A 21,968-nucleotide genomic window follows, 5' to 3' on the forward strand; every position below is an offset into this window, starting at 1 on the left:
AGTAAAGATGGGGTTTCACCACGTTGGCCAGGATGGTCTCGATCTTTTGACCTCGTGATCTGTCTACCTCAGCCTCCCAAAGTGTTGTGATTACAGGTGTGAGCCACCACGCCCGGCCGAAACATGGACTTTTTAGAAAAAAATTTCTGACCATGGTTGTGAAAAATGCACTCACCTGTCCAAACCCAAGGAATGAACTCAGAGACATGGAGAATAGCAGAAGCGAGACTTTTAATGATGGTCTTGCAAGATTGGATGTCGGGTAGGCAGACACACCCAGTACTGTTACAACAAGCCATTTATCCCCTAGTATGCAAGTCCCTCCCTCAGTTCCTCATAGGCTGAGTACTATGGGATCACAATCTTCCCGGATGTCGCCTATTGGTCTTTGGGTTGAGGCTTTTAGGTATTTTCTTTAGGGTTGTCTCACTGCATTTTGTTGCAGCCCATAATGCATTACAATCATGGTCAGTTCTGGGGCTCTTCAAGTACTTCACTTATGACCCAGGTAGTCAGGCAAGCTGATAAGAATAGATAAAGCGAGCTATCTTGCAGGCTAGTAAACTTTCACTCTAGATAAAGGTCTTTGGTTCCAGTGTGGGTAACTAAGGGGGCCCTGACAAGCAGGTGCCGGCTATTAAAGCAGGGGCCTAGTATATCCTTTGTTCCATAGTTTGTGGGCCCAAGCCTATTAGAGGCACGTTGTCTTGGAAATGGATATCATATACATTATTTTCTACACAGTTGAAAACTGGAAAGTTTTATGAACTTGGAGTGACTTCCTGCGAGGCTGATGTAATAATTCTAAGTATAGTAACATTTCACTCTATTTTCCTTGAACTACCAGCATGAAAATATAAAACATTTACAAATTAAGTAAAAGGTCCTTTCAAAGACAAATGCAGTAACACATCTAAACTGAAACAAAACATCCTAAATAAATACACAGTAATAGCTAACTATTTATGTATTGCAGAAACTCGGTAGCTACTCATCAACCGCAATTCCTCTTCCTGTGGACACAGGGGGAAGACCACATTGACAAGAGCCCCATTCCTTTGGGCTCACAACCTCACCAAAGCCTGGTCCAGGAGCCAGCAACATGAAGCATCATCTTGGAGCTCATAAAATTGCACAGTCTCTCTGATGATTAGTGATACTAAGCATTTTTTTCATATAAACTTTCCTGAGTCAAAATGGCTTTTATTAAAAAAATGAAAAGTAACAGGCCAGGCATGGTGGCTCACGCCTGTAATTCAGCACTTTGGGAGGCTGAGACAGGTGGATCACTTGAGGTCAGGAGTTCAAGACCAGCCTGGCCAACATGGTGAAAACCCACCTCTACTAAAAATACAAAGAATTTGCCTGGCATGGTGATGGGCACCTGTAGTCCCAGCTACTCGGGAGGGTGAGGAAGGAGAATCGCTTGAGCCTGGGAGGCAGAGGGTGCAATGAGGTGAGATCGCATCACTGCACTCCAGCCTGGGTGACAGAGGGAGACTCCATCTCAAAAAAAAAAAAAAAAAAAAAAAAAAAAATTAAAAAAGAAAAAGAACAGATGTTGGTGAGGATTTGGAGAAAAAAAATTCTTATTGACTGTTGGTAGGAATTTAAACTAGTATAGCCATTACAGAAAACAGTACGGAGCTTTACAAAAAATCTAAAAATAGAATTATCATTAATCCCACAATCTCACTACTAGGTATCTACCTGCCCCTGAAAAAAAGAAATCAATATGTCAAAGAGATACCTGCACTTCCATGTTGATAACAGCACTATTCATAATGGCAAACATATGGAATCAACCTAAGTGTCCACAAACACATGAATGGATAAAGAAAATACACATAATGGAATACTATTGAGCCATAAAAAAGAATGAAATTGTGTCTTTTGGCAGCAACATGGGTGGAACTGGAGGTCATTATTTTAAGTGAAATCAGCCAGGTGCAAAAAGACAAATAGTGCAGGTTTTCACTTTCATGTAGGAGCTAAAAAATTTGAACCCATGGTAGAAGAGAGTGGAAAAGCAGATACAGAGACTGGGAAGGATGCATGGGAAGAGAGAGGATAAAGAGACGTGGGTTAAAGAGGACAAACATACAGTAAGATAGAAGGAATAAATTTGAAGCTTGATAGCAGAGTAGGGTAACTGTACTCAGCAAAAATGTAGTGCAGCAGAATGATGAACACCCTAAATACCCGACGTGATCCCTATGTGTTATATACATGTAACAAAATTTCTCAGGTACCCCACAAATATGCACAAAGAAAAAATATAAAACATTAAAATGCAGTCTCAACCTCATCCTAGAGCTGCTGAATCAGAATCTGCGTTGAGACAAGACCACCTGGTGAATCATATACACATTAAAATACCTACTGTAGAGAAAAGCCGCCCAGGACCATTTGACCAGGGACATCTCTGTATACGGGGGAAGGAAATGCTTGTTGCACTGAGCTGTGGAGTTATTTGATACAATAACTAGCATGCATCCTACTCACTAAAACTCAGCGAAAATAAAATGTTCTTATGGCTTACCAATTCCACACCTGTAATTGTCTTACTAGAGCAGAAAACATGTACATTTATGCACATATAAAATCTTCTTCCCTTTCTCTTGGTATATATACATTTAATTTCAATGACACCTTTTCTTATGTTATAGTCATCTTCACCCACCTTCTCTTAATATATTATTGTCATCTTCAGCCCCCATGGAAGAGAAGCAGTTAAATATTCTGAAATCTCTGTAACATGTCATCTAGGTCCTTACAATTTAGAAATGATGGAGTATCCTCAGCAAAGAAGGGCAGAGGTCTTCCTCAAGGTCAAGTCAAGGTTCATGCATAGACTCTCAAGTCAACACAAATCAGCTCAGGGAAAAAGTGTTTTAACCTTTGTCAAATTTTTGTTATAGGGAGCAACTTAGCAGGATATCTGCTTTAACTCAGCACTCTTCAAGATGTTTGGTTTTAAGGCCATTTTACTCTATTAAAAATGACTGAGGACCTCAAATAACATTTATAATGTAGGTTATATTTATCAAAGTAGAAACCTAAAAACATTTGAAGTATTTATATTATTTTATTAAATTTATATATAATAAACCCTTTGCATGTTAATATAGAAACATTTTTATTAAAGATAATAATTTTTAAAAACCGGGGAGTAAGACCACATGGTTTTGTAGTCGCACTAATCTTTTTAGTGGGCTTGATCAAAGACAGCTGGATTTTCTTGTCTGCTTCTGCATTCAATCTGCTGTAATATCACATGTCATGCGGCCTCTGGAAAACTTTACTGTAAACTTAGGAGGGAATGAGAGAGGGGGGCGGAAAAGGCAACACTGTCTGGGGCTATCATGAAAAGCTTTGTGACCCTAAGGACTCCTTGAAAGGGTCTTGCAGACACTCAGCGTTTCCCAAACCACAATATGGGAATTTCTGTTCAACTGGGTTGAATGCTGGCCTTTGCGTGCAGAATAGCAGAAAACCAGCATCATTTCTGTCTTGTTCAGGGTTCAGTACATAATGAGAATGCTAAGCTTCTTGTTCAAAAATAGTATTAGCCTGGTCAACATAACAAGACCCCATCTCTACAAAAGTAAAAATAAAAAATTAGCTGGGTGTGGTGGCTTGGGCTTGTAGTCTTAGCTATTCAGGAGGCTGAGGCAGGAGGATCCCTTGAGCCCAGGAATTTGAAGCTGCAGTGAGCTATGATCCTACCCACTGCACTGCACTCCAGCCTGGGCAACAGAGCGAGACACTGTATCATGTATACATATATATAATATACATGCTATATATATATATATATGTATATATAATTTTAAGATATATGTAATTAATTTTAAGACCGCAACAGGAAAACATTAAAAACCAAGTGCGGGGGGCCCTTCTAAGTGTGGGTTGCATGTCAACGAATCTAGCAAAGCTGGAAATATAATTGCATCTTTCCCTATAATGGAGGGCAGTTAACCCAGCTGGGCTTGGTTGTGCTTATGATTAACTTCATTGCATCCCAGGCTTCGAATTTGTCCAGGGGTAAGTTGCTGTTACCGTGGGCTTAGGGTGGAATCTAAGAGGCACGACGGTTTTCTTATTGTTTCTTTTCTCCCCTCAGCTTTTGGCTTCTCCTGCTCTCTGCATCTCACAGGAAAGACATCCTTTTGTACTCTCCCACCTTCCCTAGCAGCTCATTGCTGTTACTTCATAGTTTGTGTTCTGCTGGTGATGGAGATTGAGTGAAAGAGTAGGTTCTGTTTTCCTAATCTAGCCTCTGATTGAGGCTGGTCCCGTGTTCTCAGGGATGGGAGGTGAGACTCTCCCTTTCACAGCAGCCAAACTCAGGGAGGAATCTATGGTTGGCCATGGTGGGAGGCAATTCATGCTCTTTTCGCCAGAGGCAGCAGAGCACTGCTTTATATTAGGATAAGATCTTGGGGCCAGATGAGTTATCTGCTCCTTTTCTAAAATTAGAGGATTTGTCTTCTATTCTTACACTGGCTATGAAGGAAGGGTTTTCGCCTGGGCTATAATGGTTGATATTGTTTGCTGCATCTCTTTTCAGTGATTTAAGTCTTTGTTTCCAATGAGTGAAGGAGTCAGGGAAGTTTGTGGGTGTATTAGTCAGGGGTCTCTAGAGGGACAGAACTAATAGGATAGATGAATATATGAAGGGGAGTTTATTAGGAGAATTGACTCCCACGATCACAAGGTGAAGTCCCACAATAAGCTGTCTGCAAGCTGAGGAGCCAGAAAGCCAGTCTGAGTCCCAAAATCTCAAAAGTAGGGAAGCCGACAGAACAACCTTCAGTCTGTGGCTGAAGGCCCAAGAGCCCCTGGCAAACCACTGGTGTAAGTCCTAGAGTCCAAAAGCTGAAGAACTTGTAGTCTGATGCTCGAGGGCAGGAAGCATCCAGCATGGGAGAAAGATGAAGGCTGGAAGACTCAGCCTAGTGTTTCCCATTCTTCTGCCTGCTTTTTATTCTGGCCATCCAGGCAGCTGATGAGATGGTGTCCACTCAGATTGAGGGGAAGTCTGCCTTTCCCAGTCCACTGACTCAAATGTTAACCTTCTTTCACAACACCCTCACGGATACACCCAGGAGTAATACTTTGCATCCTCAATCCAATCAAGTTGACACTCAATATTACCCATCACAGTGGGACTTTGTGGTTTTTCAGAAATTTTCTCAGAAATCACTACAAAGTGACTTCACTTTTTTATTGACAGTGAAACTGCTGGTCATTTTCAGGCCTACACCCTTTTTTTTTTTTTTTTTTCCAGAGAGAGGGTCTCATTCTGTCGCCTAGGCTGGAGTGCAGTGGGCAGTGGTATAATCAGAGCTCACTATAGCCTCGAACTTCTGGGTTCAAGCAATCTTCCCACCTCAGCCTCCCAAGTAGCTGGGAATACAGGGTCTCTCTGTGTTGCTCTGGCTGGTTTTGAAGTCCTGGCTCAAGCAATCCTCCCACTTCAGCCTCCCAAAGTGCTTGGGATTCCAGGTGTGAGACACCACGCACCGCATGCCTACGTCATTGAAGTGGACTCTCTCGTATCTCCTGCCCTGCCTCCAAGCTGTCTCATGAGAACATAATGAGGCCTATCGAGAGACGGGCAGTAGGCAGAAACTTCCTTTGTGTCTGGGATTCTAGGGATATTAAAATTTTTAAAAAGGTAAATTCCAGACTCTCGTGAAGATATAAAGTAATCATGTGCTAAGTATTTTATTTTACTTATTAGTTAATGAGGAATTGGTAAAATAGACAATCGGTTTGCATATTTTTGGTCTGATAAAGAACACTAAAATGAATATACAAATGGTTGCGTAAATGACCAGATGCTAGTATTTGTTTCCTGTTGCATAGTGTAGCCAAGTTGACGCATCCAGAAAACATCACACTGGCAAAATTCACATGGTGAAAACCAATGGCATCCAACTAGAAATCATTTGCATCGCTTCGGACACAAATTATTTGCTTTGCTATTGGGGTTCTATAACTTAGAGAGTCATAAAATAGCCTGGTCAAGGCCAATGGAGGCAGAAATAACCCAGATGGATGAGATAGTTAGGACACCCATTCCACTTCAAAGTCTTTCAAAATTTTTCCCTAGAGGGACTTGCAGCTATTTCAGATAGACATGGTCACACAGTGGACCTATAAAAATTGTTTAACATTTCAGCTGATATTGTTGTATTTGCTATTGTAAAGGCTGGCCTTCCCTCCCCAGTTGCATACAGCATTTCTCCTTGGAAGGCCTTGTCCTCTTCAGAGGGCTTAAGGCAAGTTACAAGTGTGTAGGCTCTCCATCTCTCTCTCTTTTTGGTGGGAGTGACATTCTCTGCACTTTTCTACAACCCAAGGAGATGTGGGAGGAAAGAGGTTGTTGCATATTTTGATGCTCAGGCTGGTTCCACACAGCAGCTTTGTTGTGGAGGTGTTTTGGGGAATAAAGCAGAGTGAGCTGTGATCACATAAGGACTGAAGTAGTGCAGAGAGAAAGGAGTAGTATGAAAAATCCCACAGAGACACAGCTGCAGGCAGTGGAACAGGCAGTAAGCAGGTACTGGAGGAACGCCCAGCAACCCCTCTGCCTTAATCAGAACTTTCCAATTACATGCGTCTTCCTTTCTTTGATAGAACTTAGTATTATTATTAACCTCCTGAGACAGAATTTTTTTTTTTAGTAATTGCCAATGGTTTGGGGCAGACATTAATTGCACTGGAATATTTTCACTGCACACTTTCAGGAATAGAAATAATAAAATGAGTTGCACTCTAAGGAACAAAAAACAAATAGAAATAATCTAAGTGAAGTGGGATGGTAATAATGCCTACATTTGCAAGATGCTTGACAGTTTTCCAGGGATTTGCACCAACAGGAATATCTGAGTTGGGGGAGAAAACACAACAACATTAGTAAAGGTTCAATGTGCAGCACAGCCTGTCTTCTACTGTGAAATAGTTGTCCTTTGATTTATTAAGTGTAGCTAAATTTATATTGGGTTTATTTGTATAAACCATCTTCAATTCTTTTTTTTTTTTTTTTTTTTTTTTTTGGCGAGCAGGCAGGTTAGCAATACGAAAAGCAATGTTATTCTTCTGCTACAGTTACATAGAAAATAGGACTCCTAATGCTTATTAAGCCTTTTCAGGGTTGCACCTTTGTGAGCGGTAGACACGGTATTAGAACTCAAGATAACCTTCTTTCTCATCCTCCTACTCTTTGCGGTTACAGAAACTTGCACTTCTTATAAAGAACACATTTTACAATGAATCTAGGCCACTTGTAGAAGAAAATGCCACCTGTGTATGTGTGTGTTACTTGTCTTTAATTCGAGATAAAGCATGCCACTGTCAAAAAGTGAAGTTGCTATATCTGGCAGAAACTTTTGTATTTCTTTTGAATTATTTGGATAATTGTCTCCAATTCTTTATTCAGAAGTTTATGCACAAACAGGATGTAATCTCAAATTCCTAGGCTTGCCTCTTAAACTTGGGAAACTCAATTGCATTCAGCATAGCTTATTCCCACCTATATGTGCTCATTAAGTTGTTCATGAACATGGTCTTCAATGAATGAAGCTGACGTACTTGTTTTTCAAGTGACTATGGCTTCCATTTATGTCTTGGTTTTGTTTCATCATTAGCATAATCAGGCATGTGTAGATATGTAGGGTGTTTGGAAGAATGAAGATGAAATGATGGAAAGCCGGAGACATGTACTTATAGTACAAACTCCGTTTTTTATGAGCACAGACAAAGGTTTGCGAAGACATGGAGAGGAATCTCTACCCATGTAGATGCAGATGGCCAACTACCACTCATCCCATACTTGTAACTCATGATAAGGCTCTATCGTCTCTTCATCTCTGTGCTAGATTCAAATTATACATTTTTTTCCTCTGGGAAAGGCATTAGCAAATTCATTTTTTTGTTATCAGAAGTGCCCAGAAAATTTAGAAATGTCTAATTTGTGTGTATCTCTCACATTGATTGATGTATATGTGTTCTGTGTCACAATGCATTCTTTATTATTATTTTTATTTTTTTTGGAGACAGGGTCTTATCCTGTCCCCAGGTTGGAGTGCAGTGCTGTGATCATAGCTCACCGCAGCCTCCAACTCCTGGGCTCAACTGATCCTCCCACATCAGCCTACATAGTAGCTAGGACTACAGACAGGCACCTGCCACCATGCCTGGCTTTTTATTTTTTTATTTTTTTGAGGCAGAGTCTCGCTCTGTCGCCCAGACTGGAGTGCAATAGTGCGATCTCGGCTCACTGCAACCTCCGCCTCCCAGGTTCAAGTGATTCTCCTGCGTTAGCCTTCCGAGTAGCTAGGATTACAAGCACCTGCCACCAGGCCCGGCTAGTTTTTTTGTATTTTTAGTAGAGCTCAGGTTTCACAATGTTGGCCAGGCTGGTCTTGAGCTCCTGACCTCATGATCTGCCTGCCTCAGCCTCCCAAAGTGCTGGGATTACAGGCGTGAGCCAACGCGCCCGGCCTAATTTTTTATTTGTATAGAGATTGTTTTGTAGAGATTGGGGGTCTCATTATATTTCCCAAGCTGGTCTCCAACTCCTGGCCTCATGCGATTCTCCTACCTTGGCCTTCCAAAGCTCTGGGATTACAGGGGTGACACACTGTTGCAGTCCCATAGTGAATTCTGATGGTGCAGGCAAGGGCAGGTCATGCTTTGGAAGCCACCAAGCCTGAGTTCCAGCCATGACACAGCCACTCATGAGCCATATGGCCCTGGGTAAGTCATGTCACTTTTCTAACCTCAGTGTCCTTTATATATAACACAGTAATAGTAATACTAGCCTCCTAAGGTTGTTCCTATAACTAAATGGGTGTTAGGCATGTGGTACGTTACTCAATTAAGAGTATCATTATAAATGTTTCCAGTAATCCATGTATCTAATGAACATAGGTTTCTTAAAGCTATCCAGTGATTTCAAGCAAAAGCAAGAAGGGAGAAGAGAATTAGATATGATTAGAGGCAAGGATTTGTTTTCATCCTCCACAGCTCAATGTCTTAAACAGTGACACCATGATTCATGTTGAGTAATAGCAATTAGCTAAATGTCTGTTATTAGGAGGGCCAATGGTTTTATGTATTGATTTTCAATCATGAGGAGGACTGCCATGCCATACTTCCTGCTGTGGCCACACCCCATGTTGAAGGATCTACTATGGAGAGTTCTTGTTTTTATTCCCGGAGTGCTGTGTATTGGACCAAGGGGAGGGAAATCTGACCTAAGAGGAAGAATGAGGCCAGACACATCAGGTGCGGTCTGGTATGAAGAGATGACACAGACTAGGGGTAGGCTCCTTCTAGAAATACCAACTAGAAAACACACTGGGAAAGTGAGGTGTTAAAGAATGAGAAATGAGCTCACCCAAATGTGGAAACAGAACGAGGAAGGAAAAACAGAAACCAGAGATCATACTAGACAACACTCTAAGGAAGCCCAAACTTAAGAGGTAGCAGCAGAAGCTATGAGGTAGAGAGAAAGGGAAGAGATGGGGGGAAAAATGAAAGAGCTGTGAAGTCACACAGAAAGGATCAAACACAAGCAGAGGCTGGAAAGTAGAAACACAAAGGAAGGGATCAGCACCTGTGGGGTTGTGACAGTGCCAGCTTGGTGATCATGTCCAGGTTTCCTGCTAGCCCATGAATTCCTTGAAAATACATTATTTTATTTTTAAGATGATTTGCATAATTATGTTAATATTTTAAAGATGATTTGCATAAATATCTGTTGCATAAATTTATTGACGGACAAAACATCAATAAATTAAATAATAAAGTTTTGTTTTTCTGTATGAAATTAATGCAGGCTAACTATAGAAAACTTTACATTTCTTTTCTTTTTTTTTTTTTTTTTTGAGACAGGTTCTGGCTCTGTTGCCCAGGCTGGAGTGCAGTGGCTCAGTCTTGGCTTACTGCAACCTCTGCCTCCTGGGCTCAAGTGATCCTTCCACCTCAGCCTCCCAAGTAGCTGGGACTACAGGTGCATACCAGCATGCCTGGCTAATTTTTAAAAAAATTTTTTTTGCAGAGACAAATCTCACTTTGTTGCCCCAGCTGGTCTCAAACTCCTGAGCTCAAGCCTTCTGCCTGCCTTGGCCTCCCAGAGTGCTGTGATTACAGGGGTGAGCCACCATATCCGGCCAAAAGTTTACATTTCACATATTGAAGAGGGAAAAAAATAAAAGCATTATAGTAAGTTCCCTCAAAGACAGTTACTATTAACATGTGGCTATATTTCAAACCAATATTTTTCAAGTGTATTTTATGCATTGTTATCATATTCATATCAAATTGTATTTTACTGGTTAATACTTAATATGGTATATTGTATTTCCTAAATTTCTACGTGCTTTTCATAATGTTTATTTTTGATATATATAATAATCCACTGAGGTTGATGTAATATGACATATTCAAACATGTACCCACAGTAGATATTTAAATTGACCCTTTCCCACTATCATTGACTTTGCTTTTCCTTCAGAGATGAAATGAACTATGCCTACAAATGACACCCCACAACCATTTTCCTTAACAGCTCTGCATAGTTTTAAAATCACCTTATGGCATTTTTTTCGTGGAAAAACCCCCGAGGATAAGCTGTTTTTTTCTTCCATTTTTTAGGTCACTTATGTTTCCTGCTTGAATGAATGTATATGATTCTTTCCTTTTCCATGAAATTCTTGGCAAGCACTCTTAGTCACCAAACTCAATTATTTTCTCAGCTTAAGGAAAGTTTTTTCTACGATGTCCTCAATATTTACTCCCTTCCTTCATTGGTCTTCATTTTCTTAGTCCCCAACTACTCTTTGTAGCTTATAGTGATGTTCTGCAGGGTACTGTAGCCTCAATAAATCTAATACATTCTCTTATCATTAAAAAAAAGCTCCATTTTCTTCACCTTGGTATCCACTCTCTCTAATCGCCATGCATATTGCTGCATTGATCTCTCTAGGTTTTACTTTTTCCTTATGAAGATTTCAAAACAGATCTTTTTTCTTGTGATAACATTTCTGAAATCCAAAAAGCTTTCTGAACTTGAGACTGTTATTTACTCACCTCAGCCCATTCCTTCCATTCCTATTTTTTTTCCACAGAAGCCATAGAATTCTATATTTAATAATACAGAGCAGTCATTTTCAAAGGGTTTCTCTTTGTGTCACTCAAATGAATTCATGAGGAATGCTTCCCTGTGTGTCTGTAGGAATTGCAACCGTTGTCTAATGTTTTGGATTTGTGTCTAAATCTTTGTTACTCTCCCACCCCAACCCACTTATTCTGCTACTTATCTCTCCAGCTTCACCTCTTGTGGCTCTTTGCTTCTGACTCTGCTTTTTAGCAGTGATGAACCACTTGCAGTCCCAAAAGTACACCAGGCTCCTTTCTTCCGCAGGATGTGGCATGGGATATTGACTTCCTGGGTCATGCTTCCCTTTCCCCACATCCCTCATGTCCATCCTCATCTATTCCTTTTCAGTGTATACGTTATCTCTCAGAAGACCATCCCTATTGTTCTAAGGGATGTTCCCAGACCACCGCGTTAGGGGTTCCCCTAAGTATTTCTGAGTACTCGTCACATAACGTAATTCCCCAGTCTATTTTAAGCTACACAAAAGTAGAAAAAATACATCTTGTTCACCAGCCTCTTTCAGTGCCCAGAACATCATCTCAGGGCATTTTAAACAGTAGTGATTCAACATATCTCTTGCATCCATTAATTATTGAATAACAACCTCTTTGAGTGAGGTAAGATGTGGAATGAGGTAAGAGCTGTAAAAGCCTGATGTTTGCAGAAAATGTACAAAGTTACAGCCTAGTCATTGGAAGGTTTTGTTTCAAAATCCAATTAGTATTATGAAATTATGTTATGCCACTTCTAAGAATAGTTTTGAAACAAATCAACATTTCTGAACCAAGTTTCAGCATGCCAAAGGAAGAAGCACGACTACTTTCAGAGCCATTGAAGTGTATCAGAAGTTTTTCACGTATGCTCTGTTGGAATCCTCGCAAGTACTTTGTAAACTGGCTATGAGTAGACCCATGTTGAAAATAAGGAAACAGAACAGAGAAGTCACCCATCTCTTGGGAAGTTGTTCCTGGATTGTAGTTTCTCTGAGTCTGCCTATAATGTGCTTACTAAGTTTGGAAACTCAGACTTTTCCCCTCCATGGAGAGATGGAGCTGCCCTCTTTTGAAGATCCCTAAGGACTTCCCTTGATTTTGAGAACTGAGCTTCTTTCTCTTCACCCTCCAAGCTCTATGTCCCTTCAAATTGCTTCTGGTCTGAGGGCTTGTACTCAGTTTTGACAACACACCATGCAAATGGAAGGTAAGACTCACTCAAGGTAGATGAAATTCCCCTCTCCCTTGCTTCCTTTATTACAGAGGATAATATTCCTTCCCACAGCTTGCTGCCACACTGCCCATGTTGCTTCCAACAACAGCACCATGTCTGAGAACTATGCTGTGCAAAGTGAGACGTATTCTAGTATTCTACTCTGCCATGAAACTTTTAGCTAAATTCCCGTGGAGTAGATGACAAACTTTCCAGTACATGACTACTATGCCACAAACAACCAGAACAGTAACCGATAACACCTCATTCACAGTCAACTAGAGGGAAGACAAAACTGCCAACAGCTGTGGAGGTGAATCTCAGGATTCCTAATGGCTCCTGGTAGAAATGCTGTCCATGTGATATCAGCCTAGGCTTGATCTCTGTGGTCTCTGTCTTTCTCTCCCCTGTTTTTCATCTGACTTAGCTGGGGCTGATACAGCAGAATACTGGGTGGCTTAAACAGCAGAAATTCATTTCTCACACTGCTTGGAGGCTGGGAAGTCCAAGGTCAAGGCACCAGCAAATCCACTGTGTGGTGAAGGCTCTCTTCCTGGCCTGCAGACAGCTGTCTTCTTGCTGTATCCTCACATGGTGGACAGAGATTTATCGTCTCTCTCTTCGTTCTTCTTATAGGGCCACTAATCCCATGATGAGAACTCTGCACTCATGACTTACCTACCTCCCAAAGGCTCCATCTCCAAATACCATTGCAGTGGGAATTAAGGCTTCACCATATAAGTTTGGGGGTTGGGGATAGAGACACAGACTTTCAGTTCATGACTTCATCTTTCTTCATTTTATTCTTGATCTTTTGACCAGGTCTTCTTATAACCACCCAGTGGGTTCACCTTGCTTATGGCCTAGACAGAGCCGATTTATCAAGACAGGGCAATTGCAATAGAGAAAGAGTAATTCACACAGAGCTGGCTGTATGGTAGACTGGAGTTTTTTTATTACTGAAATCAGTCTCCCCGAGCACTGGGGAGCAGAGTTTTTAAGGACAACTTGGTGGGTGAGGGGAGGCGCGTGAGCCAGGAGGGCTGATTGATCAGGAATGAAATCATAGGGTGTTGAAGCTATCTTCCTATGCTGAGTCATTTCTTGGGTGGGGGCCACAAGATCAGATGAGCCAGTTTAACTATCTGGGTAGTGCCGGCTGATCCATCAAATGCAGAGTCTGCAAAATATCTCAAGCACTGATCTTAGGAGCAGTTTAGGGAGGGTCAGAATCTTGTAGCCTCCAGCTGCATGACTCCTAAACCATAATTTCTAATCTTGTGGCTAATGTTAGTCCTACAAAGGCAGTCTAGTCCCCAGGCAAGAAAGAGGTCTGCTTTGGGAAAGGGCTGTTACTGTCTTTGGCTTAAACTATAAACTATAAACTAAATTTCTCCCAAAGTTAGTTCAGCCTACACCCAGGAATGAACAAGGACAGCCTGGAGGTTAGAAGCAAGATGGAGTCAGTTAAGTTAGATCTCTTTCACTGTCTCAGTCATAATTTTGCAAAGACGGTTTCACTCTTACGTCTTAAACAGTGTTGACTTACTGACTGGCAATGTCTGTTATCTCAGAATCTCAAATTTACTTTAAAAAGCACTGAAAATTTTACTACTCTAAGGTCTTTTCTAATCTCTAGAATGATCAACAGATAAAATAAAATTGACTGGCTATATATGATCCCTTTGTTGTGGAAAAGGAAATATTTATCAAGAGATACCAAAGGACCTATGTAAAACAAAGAAAGTTGGAGCAATGCCCATTAATCTTTTCATCTTGTAGCGTATAGCTCCCAGCATGTTTTAGAGTATCCATGATTACTGTCATGATTTACGTTCTTTTTATTTTGTATGTTTACATATTTGACACCGTCTAGATGATGTTGGTTTCAAGGAAACATTCACTGGAAACTGAGTTGGCAGGGAAATGGACAAGGTCATTTGAGTTATCTTTCTTATCACTCAAATCTGTGCTTTTTTTCCAGTAAAGGAGTGGGTGTGAGCTACCAGCATTGTGGCTTGTGCTGGGAATCTATGCTTCTGATGGTGCTATTTTTAGTGAGTGCCTGGGTATATTCGAAATGAATTTGTTTGTATATTATTTTTTAATTTAATTTAATTTAATTTTAAGTTCCCAGATACATGTGCAGAATGTGCAGGTTTGTTGCATAGGTAAACGTGTGACATGGTGGTTTCCTGCACCTATCATCCCATCACCTAGGTATGTAGCCCCGCATGCATAAGCTATTTATCTTGATGCTCTTCCTCCCCAGGCCCAACCGACAGGCCCCAGTGTGTGTTGTCCCCTCCCTGTGTCCATGTATTCTCAGTGTTCAGCTCCCACTTATAAGTGAGAACATGTGGTATTTGGTTTTCTGTTCCTGTGTTAGTTTGCTGAGGATAATGACTTCCAGCTCCATCCATGTCCCTGAAAAGACATAATCTCATTCCTTTTTATGGCTGCATAGCATTCCATAGTGTATATGTACCACTCGTTTGTACATTTATCCAACTAGCACTTATTTGACATTTCTGGCCAATGAAGTTTGAGTAAAGACATGCTTATTCTGCATTCCTTTCTTTAATTCAACCTTAAACAAGTGAAATATTGAAACCTGTTGCCAGGGGGTGAAAAACACTTCCCTCTTCAATCATTGTCTTAGTTTGTTATGTGGTGCTGTAACAGTATACCACAGATGAGGTAATTTATCAAGAATGGAGATTTCTTTCTTACAGTCTTGGAGGCTGGGAAGTCGAAGATTGAGGGGCCCACAGCTATTGAGGGCCTTCATGCTGCATCATCTTGTGGTGGAAGACAAGAGTGCCAGAGAGCAAGAGATTCAACTCCTGGCCCCAAGCCCTTTTATAAGCAGCATTGAAGGCCAGGCGTGGTGGCTCATGCCTGCAATCCCAGCACTTTGGGAGGCCGAGGCAGGTGGATCAGGAGGTCAGGAGTTCAACACCAACCTGGCCAAGATGGCGAAACCCAGTCTCTACTAAGAATACAAAAAATTAGCTGGGCGTGGTGGTGGGCGCCTGTAATCTCAGCTACTTGGAAGGCTGAGGCAGAGAATTGCTTGAACCTGGGAGGCGAAGGTTGCAGTGAGCCGAGATGGCGCCAATGCACTCCAGCCTGGGCGACAGAGTGAGACTCTGTCTCAAAAAATAGATAAATAAATAAATAAATAAATAAATAAATAAATAAATAAATAAAATAAGCAGCCATTGATCCATTCATGAGGTTGGAGGCCTCAGGACCCTCAGGCATCTCTCCCTAAGCCCCACCTCTGAGCACTATTGCATTGGAGAATAGGTTTCCAATACATGGACTTTTGGGAACACATCCAAGCCATGGCAATCATAGAAAATTGGAGCCAGGTGCAATGGCTCACACCTGTAACCCCAGTACTTTGGGGGGCTGAGGCAGGAGGATCACTTGAAGCCAGGAGTTGGAGACCAGACTTGGCAACATAGTGAGACCCCATCTCTAAAAAAAAAAATCAGCAGGGCATGGAGGCAGGAGCCTGTGGTCCCAGCTACTCAGGAGACTGAGGCAGGAGGATTGCTTGAGCCCATGAGTTTGATGCTACAATGAGCTGCGATCACACCATTGTATTCCAGCCTGGGTGATAGAGTGAGAACCTGGCTCAAAAAGAAAAAAAAAAAAAAAAGGCCAGGTGCAGTGGCTCATGCCTGTTATCCCAGCACTTTGGGAGGCCGAGTTGGGAGGATCACTTGAGGTCAGGAGTTTGAGACCAGCTTGGCCAACATGGTAACACCCCATCTCTACTAAAAATACAAAAATTATCTGGGCATGGTGGTGTGCGCCTGTAATCCCAGCTACTCAGAAGGCTGAGGCAGGAGAAATTGCTTGAACCCAGGAGGCTGAGGTTGCAGTGAGCCCAGAGTGTGCCATTACACTCCAGGCTGGGTGACAGAGAAAAGACTCTGTCTAAAAAAAAAAAAAAAAAAAAAAAAAAGGAAAGAAATAAAAAAATGCCACATTCAGTAAATCTTGCCTGCTGCTTGAACATGAAACCTGGGTGAAAATAATAAAAATACAAAGAATTATGGAGCCAACCAATGTCTTTTCATTCTTGAGAAAGGGAATGCAGAAAAGGCAAGCAACTTTCCAAAATCCTGCAGCTGGTAAGAGAGTTCCTCTGATAATCTGATGGCAGGAGGAGAATGCAGAGAAGGAAAATAAAAGCACCAAAATGATGAAAGCCAAGGGGTCATAGAAGCAAAATAGTCTAAGTAGAACAGAAATGACTGAGAACAGTCAACACTGTGGTAAACAAGCTTGAAGAATTGAACACACACACAAGTTACACTACTGTAAGAGCAAGCTTGTTCCCTAATAGCCTCATATATTATTCAGGATTTATGTTCATATAGTATTTTAAAATTTGAATTACAGTATATGCTACCTGGCAAAAACTGGTTAACTGTTCAGGAAGCCGCTTTCTTCTTTCCTAGGTGCATTGGGGTGCATGTATCCAGCTTGCCTTGCAGTGAGGTCCTAGGTTACAAGATGGTAGCAGAATTCATGTGTGCCACTTTCAGGTCTCCCATATAACTTCCTGACAATATGCATCATTCTTTCCCCTCTTTCAGATTCACTGTATATGAGAAAGAAAATTATGGTACCAAAACATGGAAGGGAATTGGCACCTGAATTATTCCTCAAAGGAGAATCATTTTGCTAGTCAAGATTACTCATTTGGATTTCATATCACAAGAATGAGAAAATCATCTCTTGTGTTTGAGCTATTTTACATTTTTGTGTGTATTTCATGAACTAGTGTTACTATACCTAATCCAGTGCATGAATTTTCGTTTGCTATGAAAAATAGAGTGAAATATTTTCTTCACAACTCAACCAAGCCCTTGAAGAGAGTTGAAATATTCCTAGCATTCTTCTACATCTTCTTCTTTCTCCTACTTTCTTGACTAATTTGCTACTAGGAAGTGGTCTGGATTCAGACCCCAAGAGAGGGTTCTCAGATCTCCCACATGAAAGAATTGGGGGCAAGTCCAGAGAGTAAAGTGAAAGCAAGTTTATTAAGAAAATAAAGGAATAAAGAATGGCTACTCCATAGGCACAGCAGCTCCGAGGGCTGCTGGTTGCCTATTTTTATGGTTATTTCTTGATTGTATGCTAAACAAGGGGTAGATTATTCATGAGTTTTCTGGGAAGGGGACAAGGAATTCCCAGAACTGAGGGTTCCTCTTCCTTTTAGACCTTATAGAGTAACTTCCAGACATTGCCGTGGCGTTTGTAAACTGGTGTGGCACTGTTGGGAGTGTCTTTTAGCAAGCTAATGCATTATAATTAGTGTATAATGATCAGTGAGGAAGACTAGAGGTCGCTTTCATCATCATCTTGGTTTTGGAGGATTTTGGTCAGCTTCTTTACTGCAACCTGGTTTATCAGTGGGATTTCTCTGACTTCTATCTTGTGCCTACCTCTTATCTCCTATGACTAAGAATGCCTAACCTCCTGAGAAGACAGCCCAGCAGGTCTCAACCTCATTTGACCCAGCCCCTATTCAAGATGGGGTCAAGCTTGTTCAAACACCTCTGACAAATTCAGTCCTGAATCTACAGGATGCGGTTGAGAAAGACAGGTGCCAAAACCGGGGAAGGGAAAGTGCCCCAGTGGTCCAGAGAAAGAGGTGAGAGTCAGTGTGAGGATGGTGACCATACAGGAAGACTACTTGGTGTGAGGTGTTGAAGTTTAAATGAGGGGAAGGGTGCCAGGCATGGTGGCTCACACCTGTAATTCAAACACTTTGGGAGGCCGAGGTGGAAGGGTCACTTGAGACCAGGAGTTCGAGACCAGCCTGGCCAACATGGCGAAACCTCGTCTCTACTAAAAATACAAAAAAAATTAGCCAGGGGTGGTGGTGCATGCCTGTAGTTCCAGGTACTCGGGGGACTGAGGCAGGAGAATTTCTTGAATGTGGGAGGTGGAGGTTGCAGTGAGCCGAAATCATGCCACTGCACTCCAGCCTGGGTGACAAAACAAGACTCAAATAAATAAATAAATAAGGGGAGTGGGCATCTGTCTTGGGGGAAGATCTGATAGCTGCTATGGAGGATTGGATACATATAGAGGGGAAGGGCAAATAAAAATAAGCACAAATATTAGGAACAATGGGAGCCAAAATTCCATCAGATAAGGGAATTACAATTAAGGATAGGAAAGCTAGAATGAGCATGACGGTATGGATATAGAATTGGAGGTATCAGAATCAAGTAATGGGCTTGTGATAGTCTTTTTGAGAGATAAAGAAAATAAATATAGGTACTTGTTGCTGGGGCTCAGAAACCAATACCCCAAAATATGGCATTTTGACATGCTGAACTGAAGAAGCCTCAAGGTCTCTCTGATGACCTCCTTCCTCAACCTTCTCTCCCGAGGAACCTGAAGTTCCCTTATCTGCCTAAAATTCAGAACCCCAAAGGAAAACAATTGTTTTTTCTTCCTCCCCGTTATCTCTTTATCTGTTGCAGAAAAGACCAGGATGTAACCCCACACCTGAGCAGACCTTTTTACCACGATAATGAGTGTCTTCCAAGGATCATTTAAATTCCAAAGAGAACTCTTTACAAATTAATCTCTGTTCTCCTCCTGTCATTCTCCCTACAAAGTATTTGTTGCCCCTCAATAGAATTCTTCTCCTCCCCCCACACCGCCCCACCACCTGTTTTAACAGGATCCAAGTCCTAATTCTTTCTGTAATCTCAGGGTGGCATATAAGCTTCTGAACCGGATTAGGAAGTTGAGCTTCACTCTTGTGTCTCCCATATATACACATTAAATAAATTTCTATTCCTCTTCTCCTCTTAATCAATCTGCCTCATGTCAGTGATTTTTCAGCAAACATTTAGGGGGCCGGTAGCCATGGACCCCATCGTATATATGTGTACATATTTTAGTTCTGTTCACTAAGAGACTCTGGGCATGAGGACACTCCAATGTTAATGAGAACATTGAGGATCCAGATTTTGTCTTCTACACATTATTATTCGTTTGTAGATTCCAGGGCTCCTTGGAAAAATTGCAGAATCCTGGGCTGAGTCAGGAGCAGTGTAAGATGGTAATTAGGAATATAACATATCAGAAAATATTCAAAGAGTCATGAGATTATGGTAAAAGATGCAAGCCAATTTGGAGAGCTACCACTGGCCAATCTGGGTACAGTTTGAGTATCAAAACAACTAATCATACTTGTCAGGCCTCTGAGCCCAAGCTAAGCCATCATATCCCCTGTGACCTGCATGTACACATCCAGATGGCCGGTTCCTGCCTTAACTGATGACATTGTCTTGTGAAATTCCTTTTCCTGGCTCATCTGGTCTCAAAAAGCTCCCCTACTGAGCACTTTGTGACCCCCACTCTGCCCGCCAGAGAACAACTCCCCTTTGACTGTAATTTTCCTTTATCTACCCAAATCCTATAAAACGGCCCCACCCCTATCTCCCTTTGCTGACTCTCTTTTCCGACTCAGCCCGCCTGCACCCAGGTGAAATAAACAGCCATGTTGCTCACACAAAGCCTGTTTGGTGGTCTCTTCACACGGACGCGCATGAAAATACTAATGGATTATAAGTTATTGAGTGAAATGAGAAACAGCAAGTTCATATTGATATGGATAAAGTGAGTAGAAAATTTGATGAGGAAGAGGATATTTTCACAGTTTGAAGGAACTGCCCAGTGGATACTGTGATGGCTAATATTGAGTGTCAACTTGACTGGATTGAAGGATGCAAAGTATTGTCCCTGGGTGTGTCTGTGAGGGTGTTGCCAAAGGAGATTAACATTTGAGTCAGTGGACTGGGAAAGGCAGACCCACCCTCAATCTGTGTGGACACGATCTAATCAGCTGCTAGCGTTGCTAGAATCAAAGCAGGCAGAAGAACCTTGTGATGATTAATACTGAGTGTCAACTTGATTGGATTGAAGGATACAAATTGTTGATCCTGGGTGTGTCTGTGATGGTGTTGCCAAAGGAAGTTAACATTTGAGTCAGTGGGCTGGGAAAGGCAGACCCACCATTAATCAGGGTGGGCACCATCTCATCAGCTGCCAGTGCAGCTAGAATATAAGCAGGCAGAAAAATGTGAAAAAGAGAGACTGGCCTAGCCTCCCAGCCTACATATTCCTTCCATGCTGGATGCTTCCTGCCCTCTAACATCGAACACCAAGTTCTTCAGTTTTGGAACTCAGACTGGCTTTCTTGCTCCTCAGCCTGCAGACTGCCTATTGTGGGATTGATATGGTTTGGCCGTGTCTCGACCCAAATCTCAACTTGAATTATATCTCCCTGAATTCCCGCGTGCTGTGGGAGGGATCCTGGGGCAGGTAATTGAATCATGGGGTCTGGTCTTTCCTGTGCTATTCTTGTGACAGTGAATAAGTCTCACGAGATCTAATGGGTTTATCAGGGGTTTCCGCTTTTGCTTCTTCCTCATTTTCTCTTGCTTACACCATGAAAGAAGTGCCTTTCACCTTCTGCCATGATTCTGAGGCCTCCCCAGCCATGTGGAACTGTAAGGCCAGTTAAACCTCTTTTCTTCCCTGTCTTGGGTATGTCTTTATCAGCAGTGTGAAAACAGACTAATACAGGGACCTTGTGATTGGGATTGTGATTGTGTGAGTTAATACTTAATAAACTCCCCTTTATTATTATTTTTATTTATTTATTTTGAGACGGAGTTTTGCTCTTGTTGCCTGGGCTGGAGTGCAGTGGCACAATCTCGGCTCACCGCAACCTCCGCCTCCCTGGTTCAAGTGATTCTCCTGCCTCAGCCTTCCAAGTAGCTGCAATTACAGGCATGCGCCACCATGCCTGGCTAATTTTGTATTTTCAGTAGAGATGGGGTTTCTCCATGTTGGTCAGGCTGGTCTCGAACTCCCGACCTCAGGTGATCCACCCGCCTCGGCCTCCCAAAGTGCTGGGATTACAGGTGTGAGCCACTGCACCCAGCCTAAATTCCCCTTTATATAGATGTATATATATAATATATATCCCATTAACTCTGTCTTTCTAGAGAACCCTGACTAATACAAATGTGGAAGGACTAGACTGGCTTAGTCTTCAGGCCTACATCTTTCTCCCGTGCTGGATAATTCCCACCCTTGAACATCATACTCCAAGTTCTTCAGCTCTGGGACTCAGACCTGCAACCACCGACTGTAGGCTGCACTGTCAGCTTCCCTACTTTTGAGGTTTTGGGACTCAGACTGGCTTCCTTGCTCCTCAGCTTGCAGCTGGCCTTTTGTGGGACTTCACCTTGTGTCGTGTGAGTCAATACTCCTTAATAAATTCCCCATATATACACATCTATCGTATTAGTTATGTTCCTCTAGATAACTCTGACTAAAGGCAAATGTGTAATTTTACTTTGGAGAAGCATGACAAACACCACCTTTGCTGAGTAATCAAGGTGAGCATCATTGATGCACACTTTTGTTCCGGGGTCAGGAAACATCACCACAAAGGCCATCTAGGTGCTGGGTGAACCTAGAAAATGCTGCCCTACTACTGCTCACCAGCTGTAGGTGGAGTTCCTTGAGA

The sequence above is a fragment of the Homo sapiens genome, chromosome X (genome assembly GCF_000001405.40).
Source record: "Homo sapiens chromosome X, GRCh38.p14 Primary Assembly".
NCBI lineage: Eukaryota > Metazoa > Chordata > Mammalia > Primates > Hominidae > Homo > Homo sapiens.